The sequence below is a fragment of the Homo sapiens genome, chromosome 1 (genome assembly GCF_000001405.40).
Source record: "Homo sapiens chromosome 1, GRCh38.p14 Primary Assembly".
Classification (NCBI taxonomy): domain Eukaryota; kingdom Metazoa; phylum Chordata; class Mammalia; order Primates; family Hominidae; genus Homo; species Homo sapiens.
In genome coordinates this window covers 210724212-210738040 of record NC_000001.11, presented here as the reverse complement: position 1 = coordinate 210738040, position 13829 = coordinate 210724212, and the positions used below count along the sequence as shown (strand labels likewise).

At 43.2% G+C, this 13829-nt stretch overlaps 1 protein-coding gene and 1 long non-coding RNA gene across 6 annotated transcripts in view, besides 1 other annotated feature; one reads left to right on the top strand and one right to left on the bottom strand.

Moving 5' to 3' along the window:
* The window catches only part of KCNH1 (potassium voltage-gated channel subfamily H member 1), a 455835-nt gene that overhangs the window by 396108 nt on the left and 45898 nt on the right, over positions 1 to 13829 (top strand). The window lies entirely within an intron of this gene.
* The window catches only part of LOC105372901 (uncharacterized), a 44716-nt gene that overhangs the window by 15859 nt on the left and 15028 nt on the right, over positions 1 to 13829 (bottom strand). The window lies entirely within an intron of this gene.
* Positions 11147 to 11347: a silencer, noted in NCBI's record as "peak678 fragment used in MPRA reporter construct". NCBI's record gives its function as "represses an SCP1 promoter by STARR-seq MPRAs in K562 erythroleukemia cells {active_cell/tissue: K562}" and the evidence as "EXISTENCE:reporter gene assay evidence [ECO:0000049][PMID:32103011]".

Sequence of the window (13829 nt, the reverse complement as noted above, 5' to 3'; positions counted from 1 at the left end):
TAGAACTGATACATATTACAGGCCAATGCATGGACTTTGGCTCTTATTCTAAGGGAGATAGAATCTTTGGAGGGTTTTGAGCAGGGGAGTGATATGTTCTGTTTTAAATTTTGAAAGATAAATTTGGTAACTATGTTGAGAACAGAGTGGGACAAGGGTAGAAACAGGGAGATGAGTCAGGAGCAGACTGTAATAATCCGGTTAAGAAACAATGGTGACTTAGTCTAAGTTGGTAGCAATGGAGTTGTGGGGAGAAATGGCCAGATGCTACAACAGTACTTTCTGTGGGTGTTTGAGAGTGGACAGTTGCAAGGCCTTTGGCCTGATGAACTGGAAGGATGAAGTTGCTACTGAGTTGATGAGGACTTTTGGAGGATGGAGTTTGAGGGGTATGTGCAGGGGGAGAGGGCATGTAGGAATTGAGAGTTCAGATTGAGAGATCAAAGGGGAGTTCTGGGCTAACTATATAAATTCAGGAGCCATTAGCCTATTGATAGTATTTAAATCCATGAGACTGGGTGAGATGATCTGAGAAATGAATACAGATAGACAAGGGAAGAGGTCAGAGTCTGAATCCTGAGTAGAAAGAGTATAAATATTAATTGACTCAAAATCTTAATTGATTGAAGGACAAAAGTTTATAGTTCTAAATGCCAACAGGTAAGATAGCAAACATTTTTTGTACTGGAAGAGAAAGGGTCAAATATACACCCAGACCACAGAAATCTACCTTTTCATTATGCACCTGATGACTTTCTTTTATTCCCCCTCAGTCTCTTCCCTTTGGGTGTCTTTCCTCGTAGTTACTCTGTGACTGAACCACTTAGCTCTGAGACCATTTCCCTGTCCTCTGGCTGCCCAGTGACTACCCTTTCTCTCTCCTTACTTTCCACTGGAAATACTCTAGTGAAAATCCACAAGTTAGGGCATGATGAGATTGAAAATAAAAGATCTGATCACCACGTGGCTTTGGCTACTTCTTGACTGCCTTTCCTTCTTTGCTTTGTTCCTTTACCAGAAAGCAGCTACAACCTCCTTTAGCAAGAGCTGAATCATGTAATTCTGCATAAATGGTGATGTTGCTTGGGAGGAGGGGGAAGAGAGGGTAGTCAACACTCTTTGGTAAGCAAGCAGCCCAGGCACCCAGCCTAAGTAATTATGCCTAGCAGTTGCTCATGCTGTGCAGAAAACCCAAAAAAGAGGTGTAAGTACTGTGAGAATTAGAGCCTTGATGATCTGGGAGGGTAATCAGAACGGCTCCAGAACCATTCCTCCGGCTCCCCACAGCTGCTCTAACCTCTTCCTTCACTTGTCTTCCTGGAACCTGGTTATTTAGATGCTCAGGATTATTTGGGGTGCATTTATGTATACATTTTAAGAGTTTGTGTTTTTTTTCTCTGTATCTGTTTCCCATCCTTATCATTAATCTAGATGTTTTCAAGGGCAGATGATATGGAACCTCTGTATTCTAGTCATGGGTAATTTTTTTTTGGAGGGGGGATGGAGTTTCACTCTTGTTGCCCAGGAGTGCAATGGCGCGATCTCTGCTCACTGCAGTCTCTGCCTCCAGGGTTCAAGCGATTCTCCTGCCTCAGCCTCTGACTAGCTGGGATTACAGGCATGCACCACCACACCTGTCTACTTTTGTATTTTTAGTAGAGATGGGGTTTCTCCTTGTTGGTCAGGCTGGTCTCGAACTCCCGACCTCAGGTGACCCACCTGTCTCGGCCTCCCAAGTCATGGGCAATCTTAATAAATGCCTACTCTTTACCCAGGAACATCCCATTTAAAAAAATCTAAAGTTTTTAAAAAGGAGATAAAATAGTGCAAAGCTGGGCATGGTGGCACACTCCTGTAGTCTCAGCTACTCAGGAGGCTGAGGCAGAAGGATGGCTTGAGCCCAGGAGTTTGACGCTGTACTGCACTGTGATTGTGCCTGTGGATGACTGCTGCATTCCAACGTGGGCAACTTAATGAGACCCTATCTCTAAAAAAAAAAGTTAAAACTAAAAATAAAACAATGCAAAAGAACAGTAAGCTAAAATGCAGCCAGCAGAAAGCAAAATGGATAAGATAATTAAAATCACTATAATGAAAAAATATAAAATCTTGAACAAAACACCCACTTATGGGCAAATAAACAGTTCTGGCAAAACTGAAATGGCAGGAGATAGCTGAAGTGTACTCTCTCTTGTGCGCTCTCTCTCTCTCTCTCTCTCTGTGTGTGTGTGTGTGTGTGTGTCTGTGTATGCATGCATGCATGCATGTGCATGTGTGTATAGGGACAGGGTATAGTATCCTGGACCTGTGCACTCAACTGTGGGGAAAGAATGGTATAGATTGATTCACAGGCAAGTAAAAACCCTGCATCCATTGTGATCAACATATAGAAACTTTTTTGGCAGCCTCCTTGAGTCTTGCAGCACTAGGTTAGGGACTGATCAGCAGACTTTTGTAGATGGAATCTCTGCCCTCTGATGCATGACAGTCCATTTTTACAGGCTATATGCTAGGCAAATATATCTTTCATCTCCCCTGGCACCTATCAACACTTCCCCCGCCCCATCCCAGCATCACACACACACACACACACACACACACACACACACACACACACACTCACTCACTCATTCACTCACACATCAAACATTTGTTGAATGTCTTTTAAATGTAAAAAGACATACAGAGATGAATTCCCATTCCCAAGGAGCTGGACATCTGAAAAGTGACTCAGGCAGACAACAAATACTGGAAGTAGAAGAAGAAAGGTGATGCCTGGGGTGTACGCTAGGTCTATGGAGGCAGGGGGGCTCACAAGTCTTCACAGAAAAGGTTCTGTCTCCTTCTGCATCTAATCAGATGAGGGGGCTTCACCACTAGAGGGGAGGCTGTGTGGGGGCATGCATTCCAGCCAGAGCAGTCAGCACACACAAAGCCCTGAGGTGCAAAAGAGCATGGGAAGTGTGGAGCATTCTAAACCATCCAAGACTAAACAGTGGGGCCCAAGGCATGACGGACTGCAGGGAGAAGAAGAGAATGAGGCTAGAGAGTCAGGTAGTGGCCAGTTGCAGAGGTCCTTGTAGGAGCTACCAAAGGGCTTTAACTAGGGAGAAAATTTGGTCACTTTCTTAACTAGATAAAAGGAGAATAAATCCTAATATTAATAGCTTACACTTCTTCAGTGTCTGCAACTAGATTATTTCCTTTAGTCCTTCAAACAACCTTATGGGGTAGGTGCTATTAAGGCTTTTTGTTCAAACGGGTACCCTCTCCAGGCCCTAGGAAGCCCCATGAGCAGGTCAGCCATCAGAATCAGGGGCCTACAGCTCACTCTTCTCCTGCTGCCAAGGGGGGTGGCATCTTCCATACATGGTGCAGAGGGGCAGAAGAGAAGGCTGAGCCACCCCAGGAAGGCCGTGCCTCTGGTTTCCAAATGCTGCTTCCTGGAGCATCTGTTTTCCCCAAAGGTTTTGGTGGGGGGTGGCGGGGGATTATATTGAATAAAAACATGCTTTATTTAGTGGAATGCAAACTTTACCTAATTGTAAGATAAAATGTAGGACTTGAAGAAAGAAATGTTGCTGTTTTTTTATGGGCCCTGAGCTGGGCCTCTATTTTCTCTCTTGCTCCCTGTACCTTCTGGGACATTTTGGTGAGAAGACTTAAGAAGTACAGTCAACCAATGTTGTGACTCCCAAAGAAGAGACAGCTTCTGATGAGGTCCCTGCATCTGGGGGCTGGATGGGAATAGGTGGGACTTGTTGAGGGAAATGGGGAGTCCTGTTCAACAGGGTTCAGTAGGAAATCCTTTCATGAAATCAATTGCCGTCACTCCCCTAGTTTATCTCTTTTATGAGTTAATCATCTTTAATCATTTGGAATTCAATGTAGCGTAAATAATGATAGATATGTCAATTTTAAGTTTTGAAGTCTATGATTCTGTATTGCAAGATTTCAGAACCTTGCCTGCTAGAACCATGGACAGAGCCATCAGAATTAGGACTGGCTTTTAAAATCAATTCTAGGGGAGCTGAGTGTGACTTCTGAGGGCTGTGTGTGTGTGTGTGTGTGTGTGTGTGTGTGTGTGTGTGAGACAGACAGACATACTAATTGAAGATGCTCCAGGCATTAACTTATTGGAGATTAAAGGTGAAAGAGAACTTGTGACCAGACCTTGAACAAGAAAGAACAATGAAGTGGCTAAGACCTGCCCTTCTCCTTGTCCTTCTGTGTCCTTCCCCATTTTGTTGTGCACCCCAGATGAGCTTATATTCTCTACCCACACCTCTCTTTTCACAGCCCTGCCCAGACTAGCTCTCCTCAGAAGCACCTGTTCTCCCTTCCCCACCAAAGTCAGCCTCCCTGTCAGTCACATGAGGTCTTCCTCTTAGCCAACAAAGTAAAAATCTCATGAGTGTCCTGGTAAATGCCCACAGCTGGTGCAGCTTATCCTTCTCAGACGGCAATGCCTTTAATGACCATGGTGATATCTGGAATTTGCTCAGATGAAAACATAAATGTTAATGCAGAGCCTTAACCCAGATCAATTAATTGTTTATGGTGTAATTTTAGGCATTGTAACAGGCTGGTTTGGACGGTAATTGAAGATGAAGGGGGTTCCTGGGGGCTTAGAATTCCTACTTCATCTGCACATGCCCAGACAAGCATTGTGCTACTTTGTAGCTACCATAGTCTGGATTAATCCTCAGGTAAACTCCAACCATTACCCAAATTTCTATGCGCTTTGATTCTCCTTTCTCAAGTCAGAGCATTTTCCAAACCTAAGCTCATTTGATTGAGTTCCATTCAGAAAATATCTACCCAACATGCACAGCTTTCTGAGAAGTATATTCTAAGAACTTGAAGTAAGAAAGAAAAAAAAATAGGCCATATGAAAGGATACTTTGTTTCCCATTTAGCTTGCTTTGCTTAATTGATAATTTGATCATCTGGTTCTTCTGTCACCAAAAGCAAGGAGAAAGGGGTCTGTTTCTTTTAACTCTCAGAGACTTGCCAGAGGGTATCTGAGAGACTCACCTCGGAGAGCTGCTGTGCCCTGGGCTCTCAACGACCCATCACCTAATCCAGAAAGTGTTAAGGGCCTTGCTGTGGTCTGAATGTTCGTGTTTCCCCCAAATTCATATGTTGAAAACTAACCACCAAGGTGATGGTATTAGTAGGTAGGCCCTTTGAGAGGCGATTAGGTCATGAGGGCTCTGCCCTCATAAATGGGATTAATGCCCTTATAAAAGAGGCCCCAGAGAACTTCCTTCCTCTGCTACATTGTGAGGAACGTGCTGTCTGTGAAGCAGACAGAGCCCTTGCCAGACACTGAATCTGCCAGCACCTTGGTTTTTGGACTTCCCAGCCTCCAGAAGTGTGAGCAATATATTGCTGTTATTTATAAATTACCCAGTCTAAGCTATCTTGTTGTAGCACCCCAATGGACTAAGATAGGCCTCCTCTGTGATGAAGATCAAATGAGGTTCTGTCCTAGAAGGCAGATAGACGACACAGCCTCTGCCTTGAGTCATGAACACACAATAGATGAGATGGCTGGCTTGTGAAATTGGGCAAAGCAAGGATGTCTGCTAGAGGAGCCTGCAAGGGGAGAAGTCAGTGTGGACTCCAGTGGTTAGAAGAACCTGGAACTTGTACATGAATTGTATTCCTTTCTTGTCTGACCCACTATCTCCCAGGTACCTCTACCAGCCTTTTGCTCATGATCTCACCGTGGGCCACTTACTTTCTGAATGTGATGATGCTGAGTTGATGCCCGAGCTGGTGGTGTACCCCCAGAGGAGCCACACTGGGCTGCCTGGTTCTGCTTGTGGGGGTGAGATTTGGGGAGCAGTTCCTGTAAAACAAATTTATCCTTAGCCACCTCACTTCTGTCAGTGCTGTGACCTGATGGTGGGGGTTGCAGCTAGTGTTATCTGGGATGTTCTCATGGCCACAGCTGGCCTGGGCTCCCTCCCATCGGATGAATTCCTAAATGACTTTCTGAGATGCTCAGGGGCCTGCATGCCTCTGTGGCACACTGGGCCTCAGGCTTCCCAAGAATACTCATTTGTTTCATTTGCTCCGACCTAACATGTCAGCTTTGCACAGAAAATCAGAAATGGTTGAGGTAAGAGGCATGAGCTCTCCTTCTCAGTGTGGGTGGTAGAGCACCCTGCCAAGCTGGGAGAAGGAATTAGGCAGGGCAAACTTCATATGTTGATTCTCTCACTTGCTCAGTGTTTATTCAGGTAATGGTTTGTGGGCTTAATAAATGTACCTAGAGCTCTGCTGCTTTACCTGGGAACTCTATCGGAGACTCCCCAAGACATTTGTGTATTTGAACAGCAATATATGTGTTTTTAAAGAGGTAATTTAATCTGGATTTATATAATTGATTATTTTTCAAAGGGCTTGTGGCATTTCTTGAGATCTCATCTTTTTCATAAAATTTCCCCAGTAACTGGAAATAAGCCCTTGAGTTCCTCTCCTTCCTGGCTTCCATTACACTCCCCTGTCTACTTTCTTAAACTCACTTATTTAAGCCTCTGTAAATAATTTTTCTGTGGAGAGATAAGGCCTGTGAAAGAGTAAAAAGAGAAGTGGATGAACCAGTGTGAGGGACTGTATAGTAGTGGTTAAGGGTGCAAGCTCTGAGGCCATGCAGCCTGGGTGAAGCCATGCAGTTCTGCCACTTCCTGTTTGGTAATGTGGGGCCAATTTTTTAACTTCTCTGTGAAGTTAAGACCTAGCATTTTTTAACTCCAAGTATATGGGCTTTTATAAGATGTAAAGCGACATGGATACACGCTCACTGTAACAACAAATAACATTTCCTAGGAAGTTAGGGAAGGTGATGGGAGAGCCAGAAATATTTCAGCATCATTTCTGCTTTAAAGGCTTCCACCTAATTGGACAGATAAAATCTAAGGAAATAACAGAGTGGGGAGATAACTCTCAAACCTTTTCTTCCTATTCTCTGATCACTTGGCCCCTTTCATGTCATAGATTCAGCTGTCTTGTGAACCACAGACACCTCATCTTTAATGAGGAAAAGGAGAGTTAAAAAGACAGGACAAGTAAAGTTAATGCCCAGATACCTGCCTGGTTGGTGTCCAGAGGAGAGGGTTATAATGGCCATTGAGTGTATTACAGATCCCAGTTGAAAGCAGAAAATCCACTTGGTTTGATTATGGTTGGGCATGAGTAGGCAACATGGGCATTCCAAATTGTATAAGTGTAATTTGAAAAGAACAAAGCAAAAACACTGAGGGGAGGTGCTTGGCTCTAGCCTGGGCAGAGCTTTTCCGTAGGGCCAGGTAGGGAATCCAGACTGCTTACATTCACTTTTGCTTGCTGCCACATCTGACCTCCCGTGCGCTCAGACTCCCACCCCCACCCACCCCATCTTTCCCACAAAATAGTAAGACTCCAGAAGGGTTACATGGGGAAAAGCTGGAAAAGCAATGGTAATTGGCACGTTTCATCAGTAATTACTAGGCACACTCAAAATTGTAGGGGGTCAGAGGTAGGGAAGGAGACTGGATTATTATCCAACTGTCTCTCAGTTCAAAACCAATTTGCTACCCTTAAAAAGGTCATCTGGTGAATGGTGTGGGCCATTTCACTCCTTTTTTGTTTAACCTCCCCTGTCAAGAGCTCTTTCTGACATAGATAAGCCATGTTTTGACACCCAGGAACTAAGGCCTGACCTTGTCCCTTTGGAAACTGGTAGCACCTGCCTTTTAGAAAGAAGGGAATTTGGATATGAAGTGTAATTTTCCTGCCTAGCCTTAGGCAGCAATAGTTCCTGCCGGCAGCTTTGAGATGTTATCATCATAATAATAGCAAACACTTATATAGCATTTACTGTGGGCCAGGCACTGTCCTTAGCACTTTGCTGAGGAAACTATTTTAATCTTCCTCCTGTGTCATCACAGTTGCTCTGGAAAACAAGACCACTGACCTTTATTTTAGAGTAAGACATTGGCTTTACTGAGAGCTGCCTGCAGGAATGAATAGAGAGGGCCCAGCCAGAAGTTGGGGGACTCTCTTGACCGACCTCATCAGCCCTGGGTGGTTTCTATCCATGAAAGAGTGTGGGTTGGGCAGAAAAAGACAATGGATATTGATACAGTAAGTCTCAAAGCAAGCTGATATGGCAAAAGCTACAGCATTACATGGCTCTTGTGTTGACTTAAACCCTGCACTTAAAATTTTGAGAGCTATTTTTAAAGTACTGATAACATATTTTTGAGAGGGGTCATCATCTTCATCCAGGATGAAAGGTTTTATCAGTTTCCTAGGATTTTTCTCTGACAGCCTGAGGAACAAGGAATCTGTTATTGAACAAGGTAGATTGATTTACTTTTCATAATAAGTTGTGAGGTGTGTTGCAAGTAATTTATTACTAATGACAGTCAATTGCAAATGTTTTTATATGATTTACTTTAAAAATTATACCATATTCAAAATTCTACCTATAATAATGCCATTCTTACTCACTTGAGTTTCAATATGCTTTCTTGAGTGAAGAGAAATGTGGTGTCACAGCTCACAAGCTGGGAGGGCCACCTGGCAATGCATGGTATATTTGAACTTCCTCTGCCGCATGTCAGGGTGGACATTATTGCCGTAAGTATTGAAAGTTAGACTTGGGGTATTTCTACCAGAAGCTTCCCTTTGGTTTTGAAGCACAAGGAAAGGACAGCTGCATTTTTTTTCTTGATAATTTCTTAACCAAAGTTTGGGTCAGCAGGAGGAGGGATAAGGACATAAAAGAAAACCTAAAGAAGAAGCCACTTTTTATGTCTGATTTGGTCTCTTGGCTTATAAATGTACCCTGTGCTCTAAATTTTCTTTCCTTTTTCCCCTTGCATGCTGAGGAATTTAAAAATGCAGAATGGCTTGAAGGGAAATGATTACTTCTTCTAACCCTTTTCTGCCCAAATAGAAGCCCAGCTTCACAGTTTCATGTATAATCTAACCTCAGCCACATTATAGTCCACTGTGAGCTTGCTTTTTCATTTGGTAGCCTTTGGTTCTTACCTGACAGTATTTGCTTTGGCTTATGAGTATTTTGGCAGCAAAGACATCTGAATGTTCCAGGCAATTCGGGCCCTACTAATGAGGGCCCTTTAGCAGGTTGGGATGCAGATTTGGGGTCAGAGAAGAGCAGCATGCCCAGCACAGCTGGTTCCCAGCAAGACATTTGCTGGCCCTATCTATGCCAGGTGAAGTGGCAAAGCCATCAAAATATAGAGCTGTACTTTCTACCTAAGGGGCTGTCTATTCAAGCCTGCTTTTCCTTTGTAAATGCACCTAAAACTGGCTCCTCCTGTTGCTAATCAATATTTAGTGTGGCAGCTGCGTCCCTGGATGGCTGTGTGTGTAAGCACGTGTGTGTGTGCTGGGTGCACATGGGACCTCTGCACACATACCTCAAACCAGCAGTCCCCCATGTCTTTTCCCATTTTAAGTAAATGACATAGAATGACCAGAGAGAAATTTATTTAAGATTTCCATGTCATCAAGGCAAAACGTTAATTCTAAGTCATGTTTGGTAATTGTTATACTGAAATCTATTATTTCACCATTGGTCTTCATTTGTTCATTACTCCATCCTTTTTATCACCTGTCCTACTGTGTGGTCTCTCATTATCATCTATTTATTCATTTCACTATTCACCATTCATTAAGAATTCCTTATGTGCCAGGCACTGGAAATGAAAGTAACTCACAGTCTCTTTCATGTGGTCTCAGGCTCCAAGATTGTCACTAAAGAGGGCACAATGACATTCTGAAAACACACAACTCATCAGAACTCAGACAAGGGGGCCAAGAGTCTTCAGACTCCTAAGCCTACATTCATTATGGCTTAGAGCAGTTGTTTACCAACCTTCCTTCAGGAAGAGCCTATTTTAGAATGTAGGTTCTGATAACAACCCGAGAGATTAAGATTCAGTAGATATTTGATGTTCCCTAGGAGTCTGCATTTTAACAAGTATCAATTGATTCTGGTGCAGGTTGTCTGCTGACCATAGAGAACACAGGGTTAGAACCTCCTGGTCTCATTTGTCCTGATTCAGTGGTTCATTCACAGTTGCTTTGTAGTTTAGATCAGTCTCTTTTGTTTGGAGGATTACTGAGATCCCTTGAGATTAGCTGTGCAGACAATGCAGAGACAGGAGATGTGCTTCAGCGTTTTTTCTTTTAAAGCTTTACTCCTTCCTATTCCATGAGTGCCTTGTGGACTGTTTTGAATATTGGAAAGGGGATGAAAATGTGCCTGGTTCTTGCATGTTAGCTGAAACTGGATTCCAGAGAAAGCTTATTAAATTATTTCCAAAGGACCAAACTCCCTGATTCCTTTATTAAAAGGAGCTTGTTTTGTTTGAGAGAAGGGTAATCTTTTGTGTATCTAATGGCAGAACATCTAGATACATTTTTTTTAGATTGTGAATACCTCATCCTGCTCCTATGCCTATAGTTAAACACACCCTACCCACTATTTCCTCGTGGACAATGAAAAGTTAACCAGAGGACCAGGCTTTGGTGGCTCACACCTGTAATCTCAGCTCTTTAGGAGGCCAAGGTGGAGGATTTCTTGAGGCCAGGAGTTCAAGACCAGACTAGGCAACATAGGGAGACTGTATCGCTATCAAAATATGTATATATTTTAAGCAGAGGCCTTTCTCCTGTGGGCTTATTGAGTAAGATAAGCCTCTATGAGCACATTAGAACTGTCAAATACTTACCATGAAGGAGACTTAGTGGGAATATGCCTTTGCCTTGCTGATCAAATATGGGGCTTTAATACCAAAGTATATACTTCTACATACTTCTCTTTTTCTCCCATTGAAATACACATCTCTGTCTGTGGCCAGAATAGTTTCTCCTACAGTATGAGGAACTCGTGATAGAGTAAGAAAAGACATTTGTGCTCTTCCTAATCCCACACACCATCAAGACATAAGTAATCATTCATCATCATTAGCAATTGTTGACTTTTTAACCCATGCCCAAGTAGGGTCAGCCAGACTGAGAGTGGTGACAAAGGGATGGCCTCCACCTCCCTGAGCTCATTCTGGTTTCTCACTACATTCATAATAAAAGACATGGGAAGGGTTTCCATACCCACCCCTCTCTATTGAGGGTTGAGTAAGCAGGCACTTCTAAGCTGGAACCTGCACTTTTAAATGAATAGAGGAGAGTAGTCCACCCCACCCCCGCCGGGGAACTGTCCATGGTTCTGAACCACTTAGGCATGTTTTTGACTCACCCTGTTTGGGGTTCACTACAGTATGTGAGCAGGAGAACTCACACACTGCTCATTTAATAAAAAGGTTTTATTAAATCCCTCTGCTTAATTACCTGATCCTGCATCTGAGGTTGCTGACTTTAAAATAAGATAAATGTTGTGGGTGACTGGCTTAGGTAAGGGAGCACAGGCTCTGTCCACAGAAAATTTGTCTCTGGGCTGTGAACTAGCCCAAGGGGACCTGAGCATGACCCTGGTCCTGTCAGCATTGAGTCTAAGAAGTTGAGCTTGCCTCCCTGAGATGATTTGCTACATACCTGTCCAAGCTCCCTGACACTTCAGGACCCAGATGCCAACCTGGCAGGGTTCCTTCTGTCCTCTGCATGAATTATTATAGGCATCTGAGAGGGGTCTTTCTTGAGCTATTAGTTGTAATTGGATTCATGAATAATCAATTTGCTCCCAAGTCTCCCCATTTGTTTCTGCTTGCTTATGGTGTTATTGCACATCAGCGAGTCACCAAATAACTTCCTTTTCAGAAGTTGGGCAAGTGCTGCTCCTTGGCTTGTCAGGAGCTGATACCAGGATCCTGTTCATTTACCCCAATTTGTAGCCTCTTCCGGGGAGACTCTACCTCCTTTTGCATTGAAATGGATGAAAATGTTCTTATAAATTTTTGATGTGTTACTTTGTTCTTCCATTCCTTTGTCAAAAAGAAGGCATATAATACACTTTCTATCTGCCAAACTCTGGGAATGTGAATATGACTAAGATGCAGTCTTGTCCTCCAGAAGCTTGTGGCTCAGATAGGCACACAGATAACTATAATATAATGTCACAAGTCCTGTGATTGTCAGAGGTAGGGAAGTCTTTGCAGAGAAAGTGACATTTGTACTGGGTCTTGAAGGGTGAGGAGAAGCCCAACAGACAGAGGATAATGGACATTCCTGACAAAGAACACAGCCCTAACAAGAAGGGAAATATATGGATATGTAAGGGCTGGTTGGGAAACAGAGTAGTGGCTCAGCACGGGGGACTGGGAAGGAGAAGGGGCTAGAAAGCCATTTTCTGAAGAGCCTTGAGAGCCATTTGAAACCTTTGAATGAGACAGGTATAGTCTTAGCTGCCCTGCAGAAATGAGCTTCTACAGCATTAAAAGCCTGTTCATCGTTCATACCTCTGTGCAGATTTCCTCCATTCAAGCTTCTTCTTGTCCAAGAGGGCTTCCCTGATCACCCCCTACCCCCAGACTGAGTTGAGAGAGCCATAGGCAGGTCCATCATTTAGCCACCCATTGGGTTATAATTGCCTTCCATGTTTCAAGCTTTCACACAAGACTGGAAGCTTTCTTAGATCTGAGTCTGGACATTACTTGGTGTTTTTTGTCTGGTGTATAGGGCAGTATCTAGAATAGGGAGGGTGCTCAGTAAATGTATCTTGAATTAATGTATAAAAAACTGAATGAATACCTTAAAGCTCCTTGTAAGATGGAGCCTAATGTGTCACATCTAGGGGTTCAGAAATACTTTCATAGGTAATTCTGACAGTGAAATGTGTCTGTGTAGTGCAGCTACGGGCTATGGGCATTGGGATGCCATTATCAACAGCAGTTTCACAAGAGGGAATGCTAGCCAGGAAGGTCTTAATGCAGTTAGAAGCCACAGTCTGACATAGAAGAAAGGGTTAATTGAATGGCAGTGACAAGCTGATGGTTCTGATTAGCCAAGCTTTTATGTCTCAACTAAGATGTCTCAGCTAAAGTGTCCATGGTGGCTCCTACCCTCAGGAAAACAGGCATTTTAATAGGGAAAATTATTTTCAATAATTTCCTCATGACAGGAGAAGTCAGGGAGATGGGATGTTCTGTTCCACATAGCAGCCAGCAGAAGATGTTTCAATCCTGATGATGTTGCCCTAGAAAATGAGGACTATTAACTGAAGCATTCATTGGAATTGGCAGCAGGACGCATCTGTCTGAACAGATGAGGTATGAGGGTGACATTGGCCACGAGTGCCCTTTGTGAGTCGGTATTCTCACTGTGGGTCCCAGAAGCTATTATGAGACCCTGAAGTCAAACTACAACTGAACCCTCAAGCACATAGCTAGAACTTGATAAAGTACAAAGATTCTGAATGTCTGAAAATCCTGTTTGCAAAGCCCATGCCTTCTGCTGTAGGGAAAAGACATTTAACCCTCAGCCTGTTTCTATTTATAAGAAAAGTAAACATTATGCCAAATGGATTTCTTTTTCTGAATCTGTCTCCTATCTTCAGTAGGAGCACTATTTGATGAATATTTACTTAAATCTCTGGATTGTTCCTTTTTGACTGATAATATTGCAGAGAAAAATGAGCAGAGGCCTGGAATCTAACGCTACTGCTTACTGGATCAGTAAGCAGATCCTAACTCTACTGCTTACTGGATCAGTGGTTATCCAGCCTTGGCTGCACATTGAAATCATCCAGGAGCTTTAAAAAAAAATACTCCACATCAGACATTCTGATTTAATTGGCTTAATATACAGCTTGGGCACTGTAGTTTGGGATTCTAAGTACAGCAAAGGCTAAG